Source organism: Homo sapiens, chromosome 7 (genome assembly GCF_000001405.40).
Source record: "Homo sapiens chromosome 7, GRCh38.p14 Primary Assembly".
NCBI classification, from domain to species: Eukaryota; Metazoa; Chordata; class Mammalia; order Primates; family Hominidae; genus Homo; species Homo sapiens.
Window position 1 is genome coordinate 122,300,738 of NC_000007.14, and position 25,617 is coordinate 122,326,354.

The following is a 25,617-nucleotide window of genomic DNA, read 5'->3' on the forward strand; positions in this document are numbered from 1 at the left end:
GCAGTTAGAAACACCAGAGCCCGAGCTCACAGCGGAGCCGCTGATTAACACTTGAAGCATTTCAAGGACCTGGCACCCGCCACAGTTTGGTTTTCATCCATGTTTCCTCCTTGAATGGAAGTATATTCGTCTATAAACATACATACACATGTAAAAACACGGAGGCTCCGTTTGCCAGCTGTGTACAAGTCAGTATGTGCCGTCAGGATGCAAACAATAGATACCTGTCTATCTATGATTGTAATGCGTTTGAGGAGATGTACATTGCATACAGCTACTGGATACGTTGTTCCCATTTAACTGTGCACTACGAACGTATCAGGTGGTCCAAGCCAAATTTATGTTTCTATTAGAAAACTCCATGTCTTCTGCTTCTGAACTTTACCAGATTTCATAACTTTACCCAAAGGTGTAACCATTTAGAAGAGACTATTTGCACTTGATAGATTTTCAGACCAAAACATTAAGTATTACTAATCCAGGGTTTTAGATTTTAAAAAGGCGGAGGGATGAGGGGGTCAGAGTCAGGGATCTTTAGCTGAATAGTATGAACAGAGCCCTAAAGTTTGTTGATTAAATAAGCATGTTCCAAGTATTTATTTCCAACAGTCAATGAATCAATTTTCACGTGCAATAATCAAAACCAAAATTCAAAATCATCCATAATGAACCACCCTTATCTAATGTGTATGGGTGTGTGCTCACGAATGTGGAATGTACCCCTATGGGCGCACACATCTATGCGTGTATATATGACATACACACAGTGTTTTGTTACTTCAGGGAAAGAGGAAATGATCAACATCCAGCAGACATCTTGAGACCGGAGAATCAACACAATGGAAATATATACAATAATAAAATTAAAATGATGCAGCATTCCCGGGTAGAATAATACAGATCTCAATAAATATAGCAGAAATTTGTTTAAACAAAACAAAACAAAATAAACACCATCTCTCCACCCAAGATGAAAAGTCTTTCCAAATTAAAAAAAAAGAAAAAGAAAAACAGAAAACAAGCAAAACCCTCCAAATTTTTCATAATTGTTAGTGCCTATATAGAATATAATACACAAAACCATTTAGCAGGTGCATGCAAGAGGCGAAAGGCCAGGGGATGCAGAGGCTTCTGGTCGGCCCTGAAGTGTGGGGCCCAACATGCCCTGGGGTCTGCAGACGAACTCGGACCAGGAGCTCTAGTCTGCCGCTGCCTCAGCGTGGGGGCACGGCTGAGGCTGGGAGGACCCTTAGCCTCGATCACTGGTGGCCCTGGTGGAGCCCGGGCTGCAGGGGCCCCGGGGTTGGCAGCGGCGGCTGCAGAGGAGGCAGCGTCATCGGCGGCTGCTGCGGTAGCGGGGGCGGCGGTTCAGTGCCTGGTTCGCCAGCTGGCGTGCGGGCCAGCCCCAGGCTGCTGTCGTGCAGCTTGCGGACATGCTTCTTGAGGTCAAAGTTCCTGCAGAAACCCTTGCCGCACGTGGGGCAGGTGAAAGGCTTCTTGTCGTTGTGGGTGTGCATGTGGAAGGTGAGGTTGTAAACCTGGTGGAAAGCCTTGTTGCAGATATTGCACTTGAACTGCTTCTCCCCGCTGTGGGTCAACTTGTGGTTTTTGTAATTCCCTGAAACACACAAATGACAGGAATATGGTTCTGAAAAAAAAAATAGCTTAAAAAGGGAGGAGCAGACACGTGGAAGGTAGCGCCAGGCAAGCAGAAGAGCCGCCACAGGTCCCACAACAAGTGCAGGGCTACTATCTGTGCCTGCACTTGTCTCCCCAAGTTTATTTTCAAGCATCGCATCAACAGTGATGCCGTTTCCTTAAATTTTAATACACATTTATCAGTCCAATTACATACAATGAGAGCATGCAGTTAAAACATATACCCTTGTTTTATGAATCATGCTTTTCTCTAATACTAATCAGACTTCGAGTAGGGAGTTAGAATGGCAACAAAAGTGCCACATAACTACACTTTAAACATCGTCTTCTAAAACATCCCGAAAGTATTAAGTATGGCTTTTCATAAGACTAACCATGAGAGACATTTCCTGGTTTGCATACCTTTTTGATGAAACCCTTTGCCACAGAATTCACACACAAACGGTTTGTAGCCCGCGTGTATTCGGGTATGAGTGTTTAAAGTGGAACTTCTATTAAATGCTTTGCCACACTGGTTACATTTGTGAGGTTTTTCCTAAGCAGGAGAAAGGAAAAGCAGAGACATTTAGATATTTTCTAATTATGTGAAGTTCTGCAAGCTCAAAACACAGTAATGCTTAAACACTTTCAAGCAGAACAAAAGCAAACAATACATGGCATTCACCCTGTTTAGCTAGCACTTTTTAAATGAACGTTATCCTAAAGAGTAAGGTTTTATCGGCTGTTTTTCTGCAAACAGTTCGGAAGCAAACTAGGTGAAATTGAGACAGATGAACACACCTGCGTGTGAATGATCTTGTGCCTGCACAGGGTGCTTGCTTGCCTGAAACCTTTTCCGCACACTTTGCAAACGAAGGGTCTGGCTCCTGTGTGCACTGGCATGTGACGGGTTAAGTTATAGTGCGCATTAAAGACCTTAAAATTAAACACACGTAGAACAGGTTAGCCGCACAAGTAACTTTGAAATCAAACCGGGCAGAGAGAGGGTAGGAGGAAGAGAATCTTAACAAAAAGTGTATGCAAATAATTACCCCCAAAATACTAAAAAGGGAGGAAGGAAAGGAGGAGCGAGGGAGGGAAGGAAGGAAGGAAGGAAGGAAGGAAGGAAGGAAGGAAGGAAGGAAGGAAGGAAGGAAGGAAGGAGGGAGGGAAGGAAGGAGGGAAGGAGGGAGGGAGGGAGGGAAGGAAGGAAGGAAGGAAGGGAGGGAAGGAAAGGATCTCCGTTTTGCATTGTACTTGCCTTTCCACACACTTCGCAAGTGAAAACTTTGGGCTTGGCATTAGGAGAGCCTCGGCTGAAATCCGAGGTTTTGAACGCGATTTTTTCCGACAGAAGCTGGGCGCTTTCTTTCATGTAATGCTGCAGCTGAGCCTGGGACAGGTCTTTGAAAGCTACTCCAGAAGGGTATTTCTCCACCGCCGGGACCACCAGTTTATTCCTTTCGGCTAAATACGTTTTTGGCTGCGGGTGCAAAGGGGAACTGAGGAAGTAGGAGGCCACCGGGTGGATGTTCACGCCGGCTGCCGGGTGGCATGGGCCGTCACCTCGGTTCAGGTAGCACAAGGCGCCCATGGCGTGGAATGAAGAGTGGTTGACCACACGCGGCCTTACCAGCTTGTACTGCTGCAGCGGCAGCGCGTCGCGGGCCAGGTCGCCCTTGAGACTCAGTGCGCAGTTGAGCAGGTCGCTGCAGCTGAATGCGGGAGCCGAGGGCACCGCCGCGGGCGCCGCCGGGGCCTCCAGACTGGCCTTCCGCGGCTCGGAGCCCGTCACTCCTGCCTTGGGGCTCGTGTCGTAGGCCACAGGCACGAAGGGGATCATGCAGGGGATCGACGAGTTGAGATGCAGAGAGTGCTTGGGTTCCCCCTTGGGTAAGGCTCCCTGCAGGAAGTGGGGGACTGGCAGGGCCTTGGGCTCTGGGGTGCGCGCCATGATTCGTTCAATGGAGAAAGCCAAGGGTTTGGACGTGCTCATCATGTTGCCCCGAGCTGGAGCAGTCGCTAACATTTTGGTAGTCGCGTTGTGGCAGCTACTGTCCATGTCTGAGTCGCCAGCGTCCGTCAGCCGGGGCTGGGTTGCGCCGTCCGTTGCCTTGTTCCCTGCTTGTCACAGACCTGCGGAGAGGGGGACGGGCACCATCACCACCAGTAGCCTCCTCCTCCTCCTCCTCCCCAGCATCACCAGCCGAACCTGCCTGCCCAGCCCAATGGACTCCTGCCAGCCCATCGCAGAGTTCTTGGCGCACCAATGACTCGGGGACAATCACTACTTATTTCTATCAATAGAAAGTGTTGTGTCAATAACGCAGCCAAGATCTCGCCAATCGTTAACTTCCAAGAGGAGAAGGTAAACTAGATAATTGCTCAATTCGCTTCCAACAGTCAACAGGAAAACTTTTTTTTTTTTCATCTGCAGTCAGTAACTACTTTTCATTGGTGAGTGAGGTTCCCCGCCCAGAAAAGGCGGGGGCGCTTTCACCCGCTTGGCGCGCCCTCCCCTCTGCGCACACACTCTGCCGCGCACACTTCACTACCCTCCGCACCCCCCCATCCCCACCCCCCTTTTGCTTCCTCTGCCTTTCTAATTCTCAATCTGCTTAACCAGGCTTTAGAGGCCAAGCAAATCTGAGATCAATTTTCTCGTTTAGCTCTAAGTGACATCATCTAAAATCATTGTGCAAGGGCTAAATAAGGAAACGGAGTCTAATTCAGGGGCAAACGCCAGGCTATATTTATCAAACGCCAAGCTCCAGAAAGCCTCGGCTAGGAAGCCTCGGCAGTGAAATCCGAGGTTTCGCTGCTTGGTTCCACTGGGCCTGGGTGGGCCGGGCTGGGCCGGGCTGGGCCGGGTCAGATCTGTGCCACCTCCGCAGACCTATTTCTTCCTCCAGGGCTCGGGGTTGCCCGCTCCCGGAATCCCGGAGTCTCCGCGGCCCGAACCGAGTCTGGACCATTTAGAAGACGCCGGCAGGTAACTGGCCTCCCCAAACGCCCCGAAAATTAAAAGCCTTAGGAGGCTTGTTCTGTGTTTGTGGTTTTGTAAAGGCAATGCCCGCGGCAATAGGCCTGGGAAAGTCGCACTTTCATCCACAAAGTTGAGGAGTTGCAAGGAATAATTGGGTGTCACACCACAAGCAACCTTGACTCGATCGGACCCCACCCAGGATACACACAGACGCGCGCGCGCGCACGCTTCCGAGTTTCCATTGAGAGTCTGGAAAGAGCATTTCTTTCTTAAGTACCTGCGCTCAGCTAGAGCTCTCCCGGAGCATTTTAAATACTGAATGCCGAGCGGAGAAGGGAAACAGAGTGTATTAATCCCCACTCCGGTTGCCGGTGTCTGCAAGCCTCCTCTAAGCAGCGCAGGCGGCAGCCTGGATGTCTGTGCGCATCAAGGAGACTTGCCGGCGCCAGAGTTGTGTCCACAGGTGCACTTGTGCCTCCCAAAGAGCGCGCGTAGAGACCATTTCCCCTGCAACGCCCCCCAGCCGAACACCCGCCGGGTGTGGCACCTCGGCCGAAACTCCTGGGGCGGCGCGGTGGAGCGTGTGGAGGTTTCCGGGAAGACGCCTACGGCTGCGGCTCCGACTGTGCGGGCTCCCGCCGCCCAGGCAAGAGCGTCCAGGAGCGCGCTGGAAGCTGCGGCGCGCACCTTCCCCGGCGCAGTCTCTTGCCAGCCGGCGATCACGCAGAGCTGAACCCCGCAGCTAGGCGCGCAGGAAGGGCTGCACAGAGTTTGAAGACACGGCAGCTGTAAGCTGGCGTGAGGAGGCCAAAGGAGCGCGCAGAGCTGCAAGCAAAGGGCGGTGGGGCCTGGACCCTGAAGTGAGTGGCCGACCGCAGCAGCTCAAGGTGCCATCTGCCTGGTGAGTTAACCCCACGTGGCTGTGAGACAGGTGGTGGCGGGTGTCAGGTATTGGGCCAAGTGTAGTGGGGGCGTCCTTCTGCTAGAGCTCTGAAAAGGGTTGGCCCCGGAAGGCTGGATAACGGCGGACTAGAAACCCTGGCATTATTAAGTCCCTGAGCAATTTCACTCAAAGATGCGAAACTGGACCTTAAACGAAGGAAATTGACGTCAAAGTATTCCCTCCTCTCTACCCCATTCTCAACACATGCCAGGCAAGCTACCCGGGTCCCTCCGCCCCACTCTAACTTTCCGCGAAAATCAGTTCCGCCTCTGCCCCAAGAGCCAAGAGGGGTGGAAAGGAAGAGAGCTTGGGCTGGGAACGCGCCTGATGTCTAACAGAAAGGCAGTGGCAGCTGGGTGAGTGGTGGGAAAGCTCACAGGCTGAAGAAATGGGGGAGGGGGAGTGAGTCTTATTGGAAGTTGAGGACAGCCAAGGGGCAAGATGGGGGGAGAGGTCTGGCTGAATACGACGGGCTTCAGCAGCTAGGCCTGGGAGTGCCTCGTTTCAGGCCTCGAGGTGGCTTCAGGCTGGGACAACTGATGCAGCAGAGAAGGGCAGAGCGCCCGGGGGGAGAAAGCAAAGAGGCGCTACACTCCAAGGCGGCCCTTTGGAACCGTCCTTGGCCCGGGTGCACCTACTTTGGATTCGCCCAGACTGCAAATTTTTCTTTCCTTTTGCTGGGGCCACGGGACAGAGCACCTGGGCAGAGCAAGCGGAGAGGCGCCACATCCCCGAGAGGCGCTTCGTAGTTGTCCTTGGACCGGGCGCAGACACTCAGTATTGGTCAGCGCTGGAAATTTTCTTTCCTTTTGCTGTTGGGGCCGCAGAACCAGTCTCCTCCTTTCCCCTGCTCAGACAAAGGGCACGGGAAGGGCTTTGCTGGGGCAAAGGGGGGTGGGGGGTTCTCTGTCCCACGACAGATGGGTCGCGGTTAAGACTTTAATTGCTGACTTTTGGGCCGGATCAGATTCCTTTTCCTACCTGCCACTTCCCAGCAGCGAAAAATCCCCCTCCTGCTGCACTCCTCCGCCACCGGGCTAGGTTGAAAGGAAAAAGCCAAGAAGCGCGAAGCAGCCCGGCTCTGGAAGGCTTTGGAGAGTCCAGCTGACTTGTACACAATTCGCGGCCTCTGGAGCCTTACCTGCCTTCTTGACTGAATGCCACCAGTTCGTTTTACGCTTGTGGTGTGTCCCTCACTCTCCCCTTCCTCTCCTCCCCCTCCCCTCTCCTTAACTGCAAAAGAGCCTTTCTTTGACCTCTGTAAATTTCTCCTTTGGTGTATACCAAACTAAAAAGGAAAAAATATTGGCTAAGAGGTATGCATGCTTTGTATAGTTTATATTTCAACAGTTTGCTTTTCACTAGTCTTTTCAGGATTTGCCCTTTTGGCAAGTGTTTGAAAATGTCATTTGAGTTAACACAAATATGGCAAAGCATCAATTATGCTCTTCCTTTAAGATGGCCTTGAGTTTACTAAAGACTGAAAAGGTGCTTTACAACTCCAGGCCTTGATATCCAACATTTGTTAATTTTTTCAAAACCTAACCAAAAACACATGTTAATTAGTAATACTATCTCTATTAAATAAGAATTGTCACAAAACACAAAATATATTTAGAAAGGGCTTCTATCTTACCGTCCAATCTGTCTAGTACTTTATTTCCAAATATATTTGAAAATAACAAAAAAGGCAATAAAAACAGAGTATATTCAGCAAATTCAGAAGCTTTCAAAACGTTTCAATGCAAGTATTTTTTAGTTATTAAAACAAATGCAAGGGAGCCTTGTTTGTTTTGTTAATGGCAAAATAGAAACTCTTACAGTTTCTTTGGATTTTCTTTGAGAATCCTATAATCCTATTTTTTTGCTGAGAGCTGATGATTAAGTGTGCCTCCCCTTTCCATCCATGGAAAGGCAGTATTTATAACCTCAAATCCTGATGGAAGGCGAGTTTCAGTGTATGATTTATCCTTTATGAAATATCCTGAGGAAACCACAGCAGTTCATGATATAAAGAGGCCAGATAACAAACTCTGTGTTAAGATCTATTTAAAAAATAAGAAAAAGTCCTGCTTTTCTAAAGTAATTTAAAATTCTCTTTTTCTAAGGAATCTGATTTTGACTTCAATACTTTCTAAGCTGTGTTCTTGCTATTACTAAAAAATATTCATGATTTCCACAGGCTTTTTGTTGAAGTCCCTATCATAAGCAAATGCAGTTTCTGGCTATGGTTACTGCAATTCGAAATAAAAGGTAATAAGATAATAGAGCCATACATTACCAAATAAGCCATAATCTCTAATCTCTTATTCCTTGATATGTCACAAAATACTATTGATTTTTTTAAATTAAAAATGGATTGGAAAATATTATAACTAATTCCACTTTCTGCCCTAGTTCATTGACTTGTCCCTGGTCATGTTTTTAGAGTTTTCTGGCCTGTTCAACGTCTCTGACCCCCAGCCCCTTCACCAAGAGCAACAGTCTGCTTTCTCTTTGCTTTAGCTTGTGAGCTAAGGGAGGAGAGACGAAAGCATTATTATTATTCTGACATCACCCCCCACCCCAGCCTTGACATTCAAGCACATCTACACTTTTTCCTGTTTAATACATAGCACCAAAGGCAACACACTGTACTTCTAGAAGGAAAAACACGTTTTTTAATTCCTCTGCGTTTTCTGCTTATAGTCTTTATCTCTGGCTGGTCTTTTGTTATTTCTTTTGGTGTGTGATGGAGGCAGGGTGACGGGATGGGACACAAATAGCAAAGGTCTATAAGGTTCAAGGAAAGAGTTTCTGAATACCTCAGATTACTTAATACACAACGGGAACTAACTTTCCAACACGTTAGCAAACATATTGGCAACAAGTTCAAATTTAAGGCTACTAGTGTGCTTTTAGTTAGTTTGGTAGCAAATAAAGAATTTTTGCTAAGTTCCTAAAGCAATGTGAAGGACAGTATCACAGGTTATAAATGTGGGAAGGGTTGATTAACTCACAGAGCCCTCCTCTCTTTGGGGGAAGAAGTGTGAGGGTGGATTATTTGTCTCTAGACCTTTGTTGTTATTATTTCTTTTATATTAGGATTTCATTTAAACCCAGTGAAATTATTTCTCTCAAAACAGCATTTACATAGCAAATCAGTTTGTGAAAGGAAATGAAGAGCCCAAATGTGAGAGCTGTTAATGAGGTGGCAGGCAATACAGACAGCGAGCACTTGGGCTCAGTTTGTTTCTGACCCTCCACTAATGCTGAGATTTTTCTCACCCATTCCCACAGGCCTGTGAGGTGTGTCCCTCCAGACTGAGAGGCTATGACTCAGGGTTGGACTTTATGGAAAAAAAGAAGTTTATAAAACAAGTAACCCAGTTTCTCCAACCTTTACTGTGGAGCAACAGCGTCAAGCAACAAAACCCAGCAAAGTTTTGCTTGTCACTTACAAGGGTGTTACTGAAATCTGGAAGGCGAACAATTAGAAGATAGCCCAAACATGCTCTATTGCTCTACACTGAAATACTTGCCTCCAATAATAGAAAAAACCTGTTTTCGTGCAATTGATTGATTAGCGTTCTGCAGCAGTCCCTGGACAATTTTAAAGACATTTTGTGTTTGTGGCCAAAATTAGAAACAAGCAGACACACACACAAAACAACCATATTCAAGACACGGTTCGACTGTTTCCTTGACACTACCCACGAAGTTTAAAGCATTTTTTATGTTATTTTCAAACTTTCTTAAGTGATCCCATGAAATAAAAGTCGATAATAGAAATTAAAACAACACAGAGCAAAGAACGAGCTTAGTGAAATGGAGAAGCAGTAGAGGTAAATAAAAATCCTCGAGCTAGAAAGCTCTAAGAACCGCTTATAAATTCAGTTACCTCCTGAACTCCGGCCGATGGCCACTCCGGCCCGGGAGTGCCCCGCGCCGACCCGCTGGCCTTGGCCGTCTCAGCCTTCATTATCGCCACGGCCTTGGCGCCCCCTGCCCCCGGCTGCCCAGGGGAACCAAGTTCCCGCTGCTGGAGTTGGGGCAGAGGAGCCCCGCCTCATTCAGGATTCGGTGGCCAGCGCAGAGCCATTTGAATAGAAGAAGCCCGAAGTGAAACAGAAAAGCTGAAAACTCCCCGGCTGGGCTCTCCACTTCTCGGTTCTTGCTCACGAGTTCCAAACAGTTAAAGTGACGTTGGCAAGGCCGAGGGCCACCGAGCTCTGTGAGACTCCCTTGGAGGGGTCAGGAAACTTAGCTCGAGAAGCTTGGAGGCGGCTGGGAGTTGGGGCGCAACTTCAGTGACCGGGCGCCGCTGCCGGGCTGGGGCTCCCAAGCGTCCGGCTCCCGGGGTGGTCGACGCGGCGCTGCCTTCGATCAGGTCCCGCCGACCTCGGGCCTCTGGACCACCACCGCCCCAGCTGGTCTGGCAACCCATCCCGGGCGCAATCGCGCTCCTCCCCTTCTCCTCTGCATTCCCGCAGGTCCTGGGGCGGCTCCATCCCCCCAAGGCTGAGAGATGGCGAGGGAGGCTCCAAAGAGTTTCGGGAGGGGGCGCCGGATCTGGTTTAAGAGACCGCGGAACAGATGGTGGAGAGCTCCTGGATGAAAGTTTTTGAACAGGCACTCGCTAATAGACTTGCTTTGACGACTCAGGGTGTAATTGAAGGGTCATTTAATCTAGACGCAAGGTGAAAGAAAACAGGCCCGGGGGTGTGGCATACCTAAGGAGGAACTAGAGCATCTTTTCACTAGGTTTGCCTGTCATTTTGACTTTCCTGGAAAATACGTTCTTAAGTCAAATTTTAAGAATGTCTGAGAAGCATCTCTGAGTATCTCTTCCAAAAACCTTTCGTGTATTTTTTTAGCCGACCTCCTTCCTCCGAGAATCCTCCCTTTTGAAGCCGTTTGGCCTGTGCTTAAGAGTAGTTGGGGTCTCCTTATGGTCCCAGGGCAAAGAGAATTTTCTAACTAGATTCTCCTGTTTAAGACCTTAACAGAAAGGCCTTTCTACCTTCCCTTCTTTGGCTTTACTCTCCAATTTGTTCTTTCATTCCCGAGTTCTCCCAGTGAAACCCTGCATCTCCTCTAAAAGAGAGTATTTCATGGCTGTCCAAAGAGGGCCATACCCCGTGGCCACCTCTCGCGGGCCTCCATAGCCTCTGTAAAAGAGGAAGCACTCAGCCACTGGCCGGCCCCCTTTTGTTGATGGAAGTGGATGCTGTTCTGTTTCCTCCCTTCCCGCCCTTAGGCCTCTCCCAGACCAGATTCTGCACGCCTTGTGCATGTTTCAAGAGTTGAGCACTAAGATCCAATCCCAAGAAGAGGCTTGATCCATCATTAAGAAATCTTACTACCTTTTAAAATGTTATTGCCTTCTCACTTTAAATTAATTTAGAAGATTTTTTTTTTCCCTCTTCCCACTGTCTCCTCTTACTTCAAGTTCAGTTAATTCTCTGAATTCACGAACAGTGGGGCTGCCCTCATAGTTTCTCAGCAGTCCCACACAGAGGAAAAGGCTCCTGGAAACAACGCGAAGCTTTAAGCGCCCCGCGCGGGTGTTGACGCTGGCAGCTCGCAAACAGCGTCCCGCGGCCACGGTGACCCGAGGGGCCGGCCGGCTGACGTCACGAACGCGGCCAGCTGCGGGGACCCGGGCTGCAACCGCGGCCTCTGGCCCCTGCCTTCTCGTTGGGTCGAGGGTGGGAAGGGAAGTTGAGGTCTGGGGTAAAAAGCCGGAAAAAGAAAGGAACAAGGCTGAGAATCATTCAAAGATTAAATGGGGTCGGCTCCCGTTGCTTGCGAAGACGGATGAGGAGGGAGAGAGTTGAGGGGGTTGGGGGGGACCCTCTTTTATCTAACCTTGTGATTCACAGCTTCTCAGAAATTTACATAATACAAGGGTGTAGATGTAAACCTTAAGGACAAAAATAATAATTCAACAGCACATATTTCATTTTCGCACCATGGGCCTGGATATGTTCCCGGTGTTGGCACAATAGCTGATTTCCAGAGCTTTTTACTCACGGCAGAGAATATCTGAACTCTCATACCACTGTTGAAATGAGAGGAAAGGAAGGAGAAAAAAGGGAGAGAAAGAGAAATTGACTTTAATAATGTTGATTTAGATTTCTGAATAATGGTGAAGGATTTTTTTAAAAAACTTAAGAGCATATGTTGTGTACAAAAGGTGCAGGCATAGTAATAATTGGGGTCCTTCACTCTCCAAAGTATCTATTTCCTTTTTATTTGATTGGCATGAGCTTTTCATTTTAAAAGCAAAGTCATTGCCCTTTAATAGGAAATTCCAATTTATTATTTCCTTAAATAAGTGAAGGTCACAATGTCTACTGAAAGAGAGACCCTGCTGTCAACTCAACTCCTACTTGCCAACTCAAATAGAGGACTGAGAAGTAAAATACAGCAGCAGCAAAATACATGTGATTGCTGTAGTTGCTTTTTGAATCCCCCAACCCCTCCTTCCCACATTTGAACTCTTCTAGATGCCACCAGTAATTCAAATTTTGGAGCTCTATTTGCAGTCCCCCCTTCCCCCCCTCCCCCGACCTCCCCTTGGGACACAGGGCAAAAGGAAAGTCAGGGGCAGGGATGGTAGGATCCCAGCATCCCCTTATTTTAGTTAAGAGGGGTAGAGGCTCAGGTGCCCTTTGGTCTTTCTCGCTGCGCCTCCTCCAAGTGAGCCTGACTCCCATAGTCACTTGGAAAGGTAAATGGCACCACAGTGGGTGTGCAATTGAGCCCTTCACTCTTATTGTTTCAGTGTGGGAGTAGTGGTGGCTGGAAGTCAGAAATGGGAAAGAGGTTTCTTCTCCCTTCTTTGCCTTCTGAATTTTAGTTTTCTGGGGCTCCCATTTCTCTGCAAAATACACACCCAAAGTTGGCCATATTCTCTAACATTTCATCTAATCCATCAGTAGTTTGCAGTTATTTTAAAGAAATTTATAAAGATTTTAATTTAAAACATATAGATGGGAACTTAAGATGAGAAAATGTGAACTTTTTTTTCAAAAAGTATGCTATCTATTCTGCCCCCACCTCATCACTAATAATGCAGCCCTGATCAAGGGTAAAATATAAACCTCTTTATTCACCCTGTTCCTCAGTATCCTTTTAAAGCTGGATTCTTCAATTATCTGTTGAAATTGTACACAACTGGTCTTCCTTTCTGAGAAAGGTCTTCATAAATATGCAGAAGGCCAATTTGTCGCGGACATTTTGAGCACTAGAATAAATGTTGCTAGTTTCTGGTGCTGTCTTGGCCTTCCAGCCCAAGTACCCCAACTTGAGGAAGGCCACACAACTAGTGAACTCCTTGTTGAGTAGTGGATAGTGGTTGTTCCCCTTTGTTTTTTCTGTAAAATGGGATTAAATAAAAGCCCCCTTCATTCAGAGGAGACATTGACATTGAAAAGAAATTTTAAAATAAAACCACTTTACATATGAAAGGCTATCACCTTATTAAAAAGTTAGCTATACATTTTTCCAAAATATTATTCAGACAATTGGATTTAAAAACAGTTCCTCTGCTCAATGATAGATTTCAGGTTAATCACATGGAAATGTTAAAATATACACAGGAATCATATTTGCTATGTATTTTTCACAACCTCAAGTACTTTCCTTGTGCCTAGACATCTGCTCTCCCATATTCAGTACTGTGTTCCTGGGGGAACAGTTTCTTCTGTAGATTCAGGAGAATCTACAGAAGAAACCTTAGCAAAAACTTTTCAAACAAAATCCCAATTTGATTAAAGCAGATTTCATTTCTTAAGAAGTGGTTATGCATTTGTAAAATTAATCAACTTTCTATAGACTATTCTAATTTTATGAAAGAACACACCTAGTAATCACATGAAGTAACAAAAGAAATGAGTTTAAGTAAATGACAATGAATACACTTCTTCAATACAGCAACTTTGAAGTTGTTTTAAAAAATTATTACCCGGTTGTCCAGCGGGCAGGACCTAAAAAAAACCCTACTCTCCCATGATCTGCCCGCTCAGTTGGTCTTTCCATGTTACACTTTCCACTTTTTGAGATTCAGTCCTGTTAGATTGTGACATTTTACCATGAAACTTTCTTTACTGAAACATTTTCTACCTCCCTACCAAAATATCCTTCCGAAGTTACAACTGGTTTTGGTTCCTTGGCATATTAAGGAAATGCCCTACAGAATAAACTTTAGCATTTCTTCAGCATTTAATCAAGTCTCCTTTTTTTCAGTCTCACCCAAAAGAGATGTTATTTGTAGAGAGAGAAGAGAGACGTCGTGCTAAAGGGGAAATCATTGATTTAGAGTAGAAAAGAATTTGACACACTACTTTAAATTTTTGCACAGGGAGATATTGATGTCATCTATGTGTAGGGGCTCCATAAACAACCCTAGGCCAGGGCTATGGGAAGAGTAACTGCTTTGTCTGATGGTTCTTGAAACCAACTCTTCACTTCCTCTTAATATGAGAATCATTGATCTTAGGGAGAATCAACGGAGACGGAGATTGGGGACAAGTCTAGAATACGTTTATTTAAAAATAAGCACACAAATACAACTATCCTCACTGCAAAATTGCAAAGTACAGGGAGATAAAAGACGTCATCGTATTGAGTCACTGGGTCTAGGACTCAGAAGCTGCCGCTGGCTACTTTAAAAAAATGACTGGGGGGAGACCACCAGTCGGGTTAAACAAGTGGCTCCAGTCCCAGCTTAATGCCAGGCACGGTCTCTTCCCCTTTCCAGAGTGCTCAGTTTCTACCTCCCCAAGGCCACAGAGTGCTAGACCCCCAGACCGCCAGGGCGCGCGTCTCCCATGCCACCGACGTGCTGGGTTGTGACCCTGGGGCGCACCCTTGCCCCACCCTGTGCCGCCGCGTTGCTCAAGTGTTCCTGGGAGCCTAGAAGTACTGCAGTCCAGCAACTCCGGGCAGGAGTCGGTGCTGGCAGTCGCCCTAAGCGCTTGTGCGCTCTCTCTCTCTCTCTCTCTCTCTCTCTCTCTCTCTCTCTCTCTCGTGCTTGGTTTCCGCAGCTGGGGCCACCTTGAAGGGTGTGGACCCCTCTGCCTTTCTCTCTCTGTTCCGCTTGCAGTTTGCAAGTGTATCCTTCTGTTGCATCCCTGAATTGGGACGCAGGACATCGTTCTAGGCTCCCATAAGCCTTGGAAAATATTAATGAACACCATTTGCACCTGAAATTCCCTTGAACTCAACGCACTGACCACAACAGCCGAGGCCTGAGATTCCTCGCTTGTGATCTGGCACCTCCTGGATCATCCCCGTCCCATTTCAGAGCCCTTGACCAACATAATCTGCAAGTGGACTCAATAACACATCTCCAGCTACCTCCCTTCCCAACCGCAGCCACAGGGGCTGCTGTTAGCGATGCTGGCCCTTTCTGAGACCAGAGTTCCCTTGCCCCTCCCCGTCTCCTCCTCTCCTCCCATCGGGCTGGCCATATATATAACCGGAGAACTGGACAATTCTAGCAAGTTCACAGACACGCCAGGGGCTAGGCTGAAGATCCTCAGAGCTGCGTGTGATCCAAAAGGACCCTGTGCCAACCTCAGAGAGAATGGCCGGTGAGACTGGTGGTGCATGTTGGCAGAGGCCAGCCTCCCACGATTTCTTTCGAATCCATTCATACATTAAGAAACAGTTAATAATGTCCACCACTTATGACGTCTCTAATCTTTCCAGCAACCTTCCTTATGAAGTGCCCATTTTACAGAGGGGTTAAGTAACTTGTCCAAGTACTCAGGGCTCAGACTTGGGGAAGGGATGTGGCTACTAGTATCCAAACCCAGACTTTCTGACTCCAAGCTTGGGGCTCTGCGGTTGTCCAAGCTGCTGTCAGGTACACCCAAATCTGGGTAGTAAAATCGGAGGTCTTCTTCACTTGGGAAACATACCGAATTCTTCCCTCACCTCCTCATCTCTCAGTGGCACATGCTCGCACTCCGGTGACTACTCCCTGAAAGCCAATGAGCGGTTGACCCTCTGGTGACATCTGGAACCCAGGTTCAGAGTTTCGCTCTCGCCTCTACTCCCTTAATATTTTACTCAATGTCACAGAGGAGAACAGCTTAAGGCAGCCCTGCTCCCCATCTTCAATCCGAAGCTGGGGTATCCCAGAGAAAGTCTCGCTCTGAGCTCCTGCTGGGGCACCTGCCCAGCCATGCCCCTCGAGGGCGTCGCTGCTCTCAACCCCTCTCCGCTACTGCCCGGCCGCCCAGGCCTGTGGACGCGACTCCATCTGTAGCAAAGTTCGGGGGCCAAATGGGTCGCGGCTCTTCCTCGAAGGTTACTGCGAGCGGGACTTGAAGGGAAAAGGAGGCGCATTAGCGACTTCGTTTTCTTGCATAGTACTGGTACAGAGTACCGGTGATGGTCGTAGGGGAACTCTATGTAAAGACTGGATGACCACCGGCCTCCCGGAAACCCCACACGCCAGGCCTCCAACTTCTTCACAAAAGTGGGGTGGGTGGCGGAGGGCTGTGGCGGGGGCTTGGAGCTGCTGAGAGCCGAGAGGCGCAGAGCGCAAGCTGGCAGGCTGGGCTGCTATCCCGGCGCGCAGATGCCCCGCCGCCAGTCGAGCGCGAACATCTCTCCGGAACATCGATCTATCACCTCCCTTTAAGGACCCGGACCGGGAAATTTCCATTTTCTGTTTTGGGAATAAGAAATAAAAGCGACCAAGCTCTTGCCCTAATTTCCCCCCGCGGGCCCTTCCACGCGGGCTGGCGGGATCAGAAGGACGGGTCCGAGCTCGGGGGCGCGGGGTTCCTGTGAACTCCGGGCTTGCTCGGTCCGGTCCCCGCGCCTGCTGTCCCCAGGCCCTCTCGGGAGGCAGACCGCGGCAGCGCAAAGGGGCTTCGAGGATCTCTGAGCAACGACGGCTGAGTGACCTCTTTCCCTCTCAAGCACACCTTCAAGGAGCCGGTGGACCCTCTCACCGCCGGTAGCTGCAGGCTGAGGGCGGCGCCAGGCCAGGCTGGACTGTGACCCTGGGTGGCGGGGTGGCAGCACATAGACGCTTTGACTGGGCGTTTATTGCAAAAGAAGCGGGAACTCCCTTCTCCTGAGAGAGGGACAATGAGCAAGGACTAAAGAGAATTCAAGTGGAAAAATCAGTGAATACAAGAAAGACCCACTGCTGGAGCCAAGAGGTTTACATTAAGCTCTGCATGGTTCTTTCCTTTTCCAGGAATAGGCATTATTATTTTTTTTTTCTTCAAGTGTTTGAAAAAATTTTCCTTCTTGACGTATTACTTAACAAACCCATTCCGGTTGGATGTTAGATGGTATTAATTATCTCCTGCAACACTAAGGAAACTGTCCAAATAATGTACCTGTTTGCCCTTCCCCCAAATCATTTAGACGGGTATAGCTATTTCTTTTTAGACAAAATTGTTTCACTTAAAAAATTCTGCAAGAGTTGTTAGGCCTTTGACTAAATCCATTTTCTTAAAAAATAATCCTTAAAAAGAGTTAATACCACATAAGATGTGGCATCCTTTAATAGACAGATGCTTGGGTGTTCATCCTAATAGTTATACCCATCAATGAACAATTATTAAGTCATTTCAAGCACTTTGCAATTAGTTCAATTTGAAGTTAGTTTGGAGGAAAAACTTAAAAATCACTTTTCATTATTTTTCAGTTACTTTATGAATTTTTTCATACATCTTTTTTATGGATCAAAGGTTGGTCTCCGATTTTCTCATAAGGATGCAAGTAGCTCCACTACCTGCCTGACTGCTATTGCCTTTGCTTTGGAAGCCACTGTGGGTGAAGAGTAGGGAACAAGCTTTTAGGACTCTCCTGGGTGTAGAAGGGAAGTAGCAGAGAACATAAAAATCTGGAAAGAACCTCAAAGGGGCTGACCAGCCAAGGAGGCCAATGGGCAGGTTAAACAGGCCAGGTCAGCAGCAAGAACCTCCAGGCCGCAAATACTTTCCCCTGCAGCATCTGCTTTTCTTCTTTATTTCTGAATTCTGTCAGCTGTCATTTCTTAGAGTAAATAAACTTTTCTTTAACAAAGGCCGACTTTTAATACATTTGAGGTCATCAGTTAGTTACACTTCAGGACAAAAGGGATGCATTATTTGGAGATGATCTGTATCAAGGAAATGGACATTTTATTGAAAGGAAAAGAAGGGTGGGTAATTACTAAGTACAGAGCAATGTGTCGTGGAACAGCAAGCTTGGGGATGGTGCCATTGGAGAGTTTGGGATAGCATGACTGGACATTTGAGGGTTTGGAGAAAATAGTATTTGGTGTGTGAATAGAGAAGAAAAGGAGGGAGAACATTCCCAAACTGCCTTTCAAAGATAGTGAGTTGGTAGAGTTAGTCTTTAATCCCGGAAGAAGGAAGAAATTTCCTTGTTTGTTATCTTAGCCCTAGGGCCCAGAAAATGAGCCAAAACAATGCTAAATAGTAACTGTAGATTAAATAGATTTTTAAGGCTAGTCTAGGTACCTAACGACCACTTATTACACCATGGGAGAACGAATCTGGAGGTCCAAGTTGTTTCATTTCTAAAGTTTCAGAATAAACGTTTTCATAAATGCAGGGATACCTCCACTTATTCTGCATTAACTGCCTTCATTTAAAAATTACTTATTAATAAATGCAGTAGCACAATCTGCCAATATGTTTTGGGAAATATCACAAAAATAATTCATAGAGAACTTACGCAACATAATACAATTATCTCTCAAACCCTAGCAAGAAAATATTTTGAGAGAACCACTAATAATGTGAATTACTAGTTAATATTACTAACATTACTAATTATTAGTTAACATTGATTACTAATATTAACTAATAATATATGAAATATATATTTCCTCTGCTATGGAAATATGCTGTCATAGTAATTCTTTTAACAATGTATGTGCCTATTAGGTACAAAGAACAGTCAGTGTTACTATCTTTTACTCATTTGATTAAAAACAAAATATTACAAACAAAACAAACAAAAAACTCAAGAAACAAAAACACAGAGTCAGATAGTTGGGATGTTTGAAACACTGCAAACCTCTTTTACTGCATTTGCTCTATATAAGTCTAATAAATACAGAAGTAGTTATGAGCAAATAGATTTTTATTGCCTGCAAGCTGTTATACTGGAGCAGGAGAATATGGTATCTTGACGGAAGCACACTTGCTACCCCACACCTGGGGATTACTTATAGTTGAAAGAAGAAATGTTGAGAATGGAACAAAGACACAAACCCATTGGATAATCTAGTCTATATTTGGGTTTGGCAATCCTTTCATCCCAGGAATATACCTGTAGACCAATTCAAAGTACTAAGAACCAAGATTAAAGATTTTATACACATCACAATAATAGCAAATTAAGTACAAAACGAACCTGGCACATAAATTATAATTTGTAAGGTACACACCATTTTAACAAGGATACGACAGTGTTGGTGCAGTGGTCCGAACTGACTTCTCACAATGCTGCATTATGAGAAATATGTATCTCGCTTTACACAGAAAACATCATTTTGATGTGATTACAGAAAAATGCTCAAATCTTCTTTAAAAAAAAAAGTTCATGTTCTGATCACAAGCAGAGCCAAGGTTCATTTTTAGGTCAAACTACACAAAAGAGGATGCTCTTCTCCAAAAAAACAAACAAACAAACAAACAAAAAAAGGAAACAAAAAAACCCCAAAATCTTGGCATTTCCCCTTTTACTCTACATTCAGGCTTACTTTTTAAAGAAATACAAGCATTTTTATTTGGCCAAAACAAACAATGAATGTAATTACAAGGACAAGGTTAAAAAAATAAAAAACAATGTCGATCAAGGTCTTCCTTCCTTCTGCAAAGCTGTGTGATATCAGCCTTCTTCTTCTTCGTCACTGTCTTTCATAGTAATGCCCTGAAGTCCTCCTCCTTCTGAAACAGAGGCTGTGGCCTCCTCTACTGTTAAACGTCTGTGCACAGTATCATAAGTCTTACTGTTCAGTGTTCCTTCCAACACACCCTGCAATCGAAAGTCCCTGTAGGTTTTCTGAAGAAAGAAGATAAAATTTGCTTAGCTCACTTAGATTATATGCGTGTACATAGATATATACTCAGTTGGCATTTCAAAAATGATCTTGGGGAATCCACTGATAGGTTCATGTGGCTGTCCATGCCAATCATCTTCTTGGTGTATTTCTGGGGAGTAAATGGAATGACAGACTCTGGCTATTGCTTCAAACTACAATTACTATGACTACATCAAAATGTTGTTACTATCAGATGACAAATTCACTTTCCCCTCAGAACATTACTAATTGCACACAATTTACCTTTTGAACAACCTGTAGCAAAAATAAAATATGTACCTGTGTAAGTTTTTAATAAGAAATTATTAGTTTTTTTAATTGAGGGGGCTTTCCTTTAATACTGAAAAATACATTATATTTTATAAAATGCATTAATTTTGAGGGGTCAGTTGTGTGGAGGAAGAAGATTAATCCTATTATCGGTAAAAGAAGTTCACATTTTCAGCATTTCAGTGAATTATAAAATTTATTTACATGTACCACTGGATAAAAATTTGTGTACATCTAAATGTCTGGATGAATTTTGCCCTTTTCTTTTGAAATTCCCTTGGGATGTGAAGTGCCAAATTCTGACATAAAGCTTCCATAGATGGGACAGCAAAACAAGTATTTACATTTTTTCTTAAAAGAATACATTAAAATTTGCTGTATTATGTATCAAAAATAGAGTACCATGTTATTGTTTGTACAATGATTTTCAAGACAACAAAATCCAACAATATTTTTCTGTGGCACTTAAAATATTAATCTATAATGTTTCCCTTATGTTTACATTGATTGATTGATTGACTGATTGATTGACTGATTGAGACAGGTCTCACTCTCTTACCCAGGCTGGAGTACAGCGGTGTGATCATTGCTTACTGCAGCCTCGACCTCCCAGGCTGAAGCAATCCTGCCACCTTAGCCTCCTGAGGAGCTGGGACCACAGGTGTGTGCTACTGCGCTCGGCTAACTTTTAAATTTTTTTGTAGAGACAAGGTCTTGCCATGTAGCATAGGCTTGTCTTGAACCCCTGGCCTCAAATGATCCTCACATCTCAGCCTCCCAAAGTGCCGGGACTACAGGCCTGAGCCACTGTGCCTGGCCATGTTTACTTTTTTCTTTTCTTTTTTTTGTTTTTATTTTGACATGGAGTATCACTGTGTCATCCAGGCTGGAGTGCAGTGGCACAATCTTGGCTCACAGCAGCCTTCGCCTCCCCAGTTCAAGTGATTCTCCCACCTCAGCCTCCCGAGTAGCTGGGATTACAGGCACATGCCACCATGCCCAGCTAATTTTTGTGTTTTTGGGGTTTCACTCTATCGGCCAGACTGATCTCAAACTCCTGAACTCAGGTGATCCGCCCACCCCAGCCTCCCAAAGTGCTGGCATTACAGGCGTGAGCCACAGCACTCAGCCATGTTCACTTTTTAAAGTGTAATCTTCTTCACATATAATTTTCTGCAGCTAAACATGACTGGTATTTTATTACTACTGATTTTTAAAGTAGGAGAAAAAGTTCAGTTAGTTAAATGGGGAAACAACAAATGAAGATATTTCATTTTGTGGGATATGATTTTGTCATAATAAGCTCATTCTAAGTCATAAGTTATTATGACTAAGGTAGTACTCTCTTACACCAAAACTCACTGTAATTTGCATCAGAACCAGTGAGATAATTCTGAAAGGTATGTTTTGTCTAGATAATCTGGAAACTGATAAACATGGCATTATTACCACAAAGATTTGTGTTTATTCCTATAACTCTCTTGTAATTAAACATGTCAAACATAAAGTATTCACCTACAGATGATGCATCTAATGTAAAGTATTATTGTTCCACTAACAATTATATACTGAGTTTTTGAGTTCAACTTTCTTATTTTATTGGAATGACTTTCCTTTGACTTAGCTTAATTACCAGTAAGTTGGCCAGAGCAGATTTGAATTGTGGATCTGCAGTCCTGAAGGCTTTCTAATTTATATATAATTAAGACCGCTTTCTTATTCAATTAGCAAGCAATAACCAGTTGGGTGAGATACTAGGCAGCTAGCCTTGCAATCTCTTTCTCTGTCTTTAGAATTCATAAAATGTTATTGACACTTGGATGTTCCCTGTGGCTTCCACAAAGGTTTGGTTGGCTCTTGCTTAAGACAAGTGCCTGCCACAGAGTTCTGTTCACTTTTTCTCTCCTAGCAAAAGAAGCAGGTGATTTATGTTAACTGCATTTAATGTCATGTGGCCACTATGGAGAACACAAACACAACCATTTTGACTATTTGAGGGTTTCACTTTTCCCCTCCCCCAAAAAATCATTCTAAGGTAAAAACTTTGCAAATAATTTCAGTCTTTAATTTTTTGTGTAACCCTTTCTGGGATTTGTTTTTTTCTTAGTGTGCAACATGAATGAACCAATTGGTGTATAAGTGTCTTTGTTTAGGGTAAAGTTGGCTATTACATAAATTTTGATGGCATCTAGGTCTCCATGGGCATAGAAGAATGGCAATCCCTGTGAGTAGTAAGGACAAGACTACTAACAGCAAGTAGTTTGGGTCCTGGGTAGAATACACTACTCTGCTGAACCATGCAGGCCAAGTCTAAGTGACCTGGATGGAAGGAAAGTCTGGTTATGGGCCTTCACAATTCTCTACATGTGTTATTCAACAGCTTCTTAAATTCACTGGGAAATGATCATTATAAGCAAAACCATGTAAGTTCTGAAGAATAATGAATCTATGTATGAAATTGGCTAAAAGTCTGTTTATATTCAAAGTAGAAAAAACAATTAGAACATTAAATTATTAATTCACTTTGAGTTTTATTGTGAAAATAATTATTTCTAATTATTAAATAGAGCCCTATGACTTGATTAAATGTATCAGCCCAAGAACACATTGGCTAAGCCTGGAGACTTGCCTGTGAAAAGTAAAACATGGAAAATCAACATATTCATGAAAATTAATTTCATATTTATTGGTCAAATATTGATCATTAGGAAGAATATATTAAAGAAGATATACTGACTTACAGTAAAATGGAAATGTCACTATATAATTAATAAAATTATTGTTCTTTTATGCTAAAATATTCACTAGTGAGAATACTTAAGATCTACTCTCTTAGCAAATTTCAAGTATACATTAATAAGTCACACTGTATATCTTGAGTATATAAAAATTTTTACTTTTAAATTATACCTCAATAAAATGAAAAAATTTCACTCTTGCTTAATCTTTAACTATAAAGATGTGTGGAAATGAGGAATAACTTTGAAAGAAACAAATCATGGGCTAATGTGGAGATTGTTATTCTCAAAACAAAGAGCTTAATAATCTATCAGCTAACACCAGGAGGCTGAATATGTAACTTCTGAAATCTTGAACACAGTAGGCATTAGCTTGAAAATATGGTTTATCATAAGGATAAACAGCTAATTGTAATATTAATCACTGCATAAAGTACAACTGTTATGTATGTGTATATATATGCATATTATATACATATGTATATTTTATATATATATATATATATATATATATATATATATATATATATATATATGGCAAATACATTATCCTGACTCTCTTTTCTGAAGAACAAACTTCATTTGAAAGCTCTTCAAGTCACATTTATAGAAACAAGAAACAATGGAGAACTAAGCCAATTATGAACCTATCATATTGTCCTTTCAGTTTCTTTGTAAAATAAATAACACCATATAAGAAGTGTTCTGGATCAAAATTATTTTCTCCATTGACATGTAATGTGTAGCTATAGTATTAAAATTTTGTGAGTGGCTATAATTTTACTTGTTATTTATGAGTAATCATAATTGCTATTATTGTGGCATTTTAGGTCTGGTTCTACTTTCCAGTAGATTTGCCAATTTCTGACTTTGGAACAGAACTTTCCTATTTGTGGGCCTAACAAGATCAACAAGCAGGCATAAAAATAATTTGTATTCTAATTAGACTGTAGGAACCAAAGGAATAAAGAAAATATTTTAATGTGGCTAGAAACATCTTTTAATGATGTAACACAGTGGGTCTTTGAAAACTTTAGCATGTTTTCATGTATTAGAACCATCTGGAGGACTTGTTAATCTATAGATTACTGGGTTCCACCCTCGGAATTTCTGATTCAGTAGGTCTGGGGTGGGGCCCAAGAATTTGTGGTTCTAACAAGTTCCCAGGTGATGATGATAGTGGTAGGTGAGGAATGACACTTTGCAAACTACTGTGTATACTCATATATACACACATTATGTGTGTGGGTACATACACACATATATACTACTAATAAATGGTACTATAATGAAAGTAAAGGTCTTTTGTTTAAATAAATAGGTGATTCTCAATAGCTTAGAGTTATGTTTTCTGCCATAAGGTGAAATTTCTGTCCCAATTTTAAGAAAAGGTTAAACTTGGGGTAAATTTTGTACTTACATTAGAATTTACAAAGTGTGAAAAATTATGCATAATATATTATTTTATAGATCTTACTCACTAAATATGACATGTAATTTATTAGCTTTTCTCTTCAAGAGCTAAAGTCAAAATGGCCTTGCCGAACTTATGTGATGTCTATGTCAGTAGTTTTGGGTGGTCTCCAACACTCAAACTGATTACCTTTTACATATAAGAGGCATGCTTCCAAAAGGATTTGGGCAATGACAATGTATTACTTTCGTACCAGCATATAATAAAATAACTGAGACTCTCCTTATTCTTCTGGCAAATATAGTACAAAAGCCCTCACAATGATATATGATCCTAATAAATATGAAGTAATTGTATTATGATAAAACATTCATATGCTTAAGAAAATTAATGTAAAATTATTGTGAACCTACTTCCTTCAGGTAACTGTGCTGGGGCTTTATGTATTTAATCTCAAACTGTGAGTATTTGCTAGCAAATTTTTTTTATTAGTGCAAAAAAGATAAATTTATATTCATTTATTAATCTAACTAAACGTGGAAGTAAACAGTAGCACATCATTGCTAATAAGTGATACTTTTTAGTTACATCAAATACAGTTTTCTTGTATGTCAGTATCTTGCCATTATTCCTTATAGCTTAGTGGGCAATTCATATCTAAACACATTTTGTTTACCTTCACAATCTTGATGAGCGTCTTCAGCTGGTAAATATGGAGTTGGAGGTCTAATCTATCAGTCAACCACACGCAAATGACTTTCATGGAACTGCTGTACCATTGCTAGAAGGGAGAATTGGGGCACAGGGGAGGAGAACAAAAAAAGAAAACAACCTCTGCAGTATTCATTTAACAGATTCGATAATGAGGGGGTAATAAAACACTCTGAAATGACCACAGATCAGCACTTGAAGTCAATAATGCTATAATTTCCTGTTAACAGAATTGTATGCTTTGCTAGAAAATCTGTTAAGTTGACCTAGGCTGTTCTTTAAATGAATTAACGTTACAGTCTTTCAGCTGTAACATATTCACGGAAACAGTGTTTTTGCACTTTGCAGCCTAGTGGCCTGCTTTGTAATTTGTAAATAACAAAGGATCCTAAATACATGTTATAGGACTGAATGGACAGCCAAGCAGCAGGAAAAAAGAGGTAAATTATTTTCAAAGGAAAATTTTCTATTAGCCTGCATGTTACATAAAAATCAAAAAGAAGATGTGTTATGCTATAAGTCATGTAGTCAATACCTAAAATTACATTTTAAAGTAGCGATGGCAAAAAAAAAAAAAAAATCTACAACTTAAACAGTAATCCTCAATCACACCTTTATCAATTAAATATTTACCAAGCTCTTTTAAAACCATCTAAAATAAAGATTTATTGAGATCTTAGGAAGAAACATTATCAAGATTGAATTTTTGTAAGAATCACAAAATAGGTGTCAGTTGATCAAATTATGAATGAAAAGGATGTGTTTCATTTTGTATTTTTGGAGGGTCCATAATTTTTCTGTTTATTACAACTCTCTTAAGAGAAAAACTGAAATTCTTCTTTA

General features: G+C 43.4%; 2 protein-coding genes and 1 long non-coding RNA gene across 34 annotated transcripts in view, besides 4 other annotated features; 1 reads left to right on the forward strand and 2 right to left on the reverse strand.

The window, feature by feature from the left end:
* On the reverse strand, window positions 566-9,986 carry FEZF1 (FEZ family zinc finger 1). Of its 4 annotated transcripts, XM_011516202.3 has the most exons (6): window positions 9,448-9,986; window positions 3,272-3,774; window positions 2,900-3,121; window positions 2,440-2,574; window positions 2,062-2,194; window positions 566-1,618 (listed from the first exon to the last, which is right to left on the reverse strand). In XM_011516202.3, the coding sequence occupies exons 2-6, from the start codon at window positions 3,698-3,700 to the stop codon at window positions 1,260-1,262; spliced, it is 1,278 nt and encodes a 425-aa protein (XP_011514504.1). In that variant the 5' UTR covers window positions 3,701-3,774; window positions 9,448-9,986; the 3' UTR covers window positions 566-1,259. The 4 variants fall into 4 exon arrangements, with proteins under 4 accessions (XP_011514504.1, XP_005250394.1, NP_001019784.2 ...); XM_005250337.4 differs by having other exon boundaries at window positions 2,900-3,774; NM_001160264.2 differs by lacking the exon at window positions 9,448-9,986 and having other exon boundaries at window positions 572-1,618.
* FEZF1-AS1 (FEZF1 antisense RNA 1) lies at window positions 2,921-9,340 on the forward strand. Its single transcript, NR_036484.1, has 7 exons — window positions 2,921-3,531; window positions 3,836-4,006; window positions 4,551-5,525; window positions 5,779-5,923; window positions 6,566-6,751; window positions 7,750-7,820; window positions 8,847-9,340. It is a non-coding gene; the product is annotated as an FEZF1 antisense RNA 1 (long non-coding RNA).
* Window positions 10,689-11,201: an enhancer, noted in NCBI's record as "H3K4me1 hESC enhancer chr7:121951480-121951992 (GRCh37/hg19 assembly coordinates)". NCBI's record gives its function as "activates a minimal SCP1, AML or CMV promoter by ChIP-STARR-seq in naive H9 embryonic stem cells {active_cell/tissue: H9 hESC(naive)}" and the evidence as "EXISTENCE:reporter gene assay evidence [ECO:0000049][PMID:30033119]".
* Window positions 11,202-11,714: an enhancer, noted in NCBI's record as "H3K4me1 hESC enhancer chr7:121951993-121952505 (GRCh37/hg19 assembly coordinates)". NCBI's record gives its function as "activates a minimal SCP1, AML or CMV promoter by ChIP-STARR-seq in naive H9 embryonic stem cells {active_cell/tissue: H9 hESC(naive)}" and the evidence as "EXISTENCE:reporter gene assay evidence [ECO:0000049][PMID:30033119]".
* Window positions 14,462-14,992: an enhancer, noted in NCBI's record as "H3K27ac-H3K4me1 hESC enhancer chr7:121955253-121955783 (GRCh37/hg19 assembly coordinates)". NCBI's record gives its function as "activates a minimal SCP1, AML or CMV promoter by ChIP-STARR-seq in naive H9 embryonic stem cells {active_cell/tissue: H9 hESC(naive)}" and the evidence as "EXISTENCE:reporter gene assay evidence [ECO:0000049][PMID:30033119]".
* Window positions 16,139-16,993: an enhancer, noted in NCBI's record as "H3K4me1 hESC enhancer chr7:121956930-121957784 (GRCh37/hg19 assembly coordinates)". NCBI's record gives its function as "activates a minimal SCP1, AML or CMV promoter by ChIP-STARR-seq in primed H9 embryonic stem cells {active_cell/tissue: H9 hESC(primed)}" and the evidence as "EXISTENCE:reporter gene assay evidence [ECO:0000049][PMID:30033119]".
* CADPS2 (calcium dependent secretion activator 2) overlaps window positions 17,674-25,617 on the reverse strand; it is a 568,050-nt gene continuing 560,106 nt past the window's right edge. For all 29 annotated transcript variants that reach the window (NM_001363398.2, NM_001009571.4, XM_047421032.1 and 26 more), the window contains 2 exons: window positions 24,740-24,844; window positions 17,674-19,601 (listed from right to left, as the gene is read on the reverse strand). In NM_001363398.2, the coding sequence (NP_001350327.1) occupies window positions 19,428-19,601; window positions 24,740-24,844 (279 nt within the window). In that variant the 3' untranslated portion in view covers window positions 17,674-19,427. The remainder of the gene's footprint in view (window positions 19,602-24,739; window positions 24,845-25,617) is intronic.

What these genes read in the sequence shown, in the direction of transcription:
- FEZF1 (XM_005250337.4), bottom strand. Translation starts at nt 3,700, where the DNA reads ATGGACAGTAGCTGCCACAACGCGACTACCAAAATGTTAGCGACTGCT. An exon ending in CTTGCGAAGTGTGTGGAAAG is followed by an intron (nt 2,575 to 2,899) that starts GCAAGTACAATG and finishes TTTAATTTTAAG; the next exon opens with GTCTTTAATGCGCACTATAA. An exon ending in ACAAGATCATTCACACGCAG is followed by an intron (nt 2,195 to 2,439) that starts GTGTGTTCATCT and finishes TCTCCTGCTTAG; the next exon opens with GAAAAACCTCACAAATGTAA.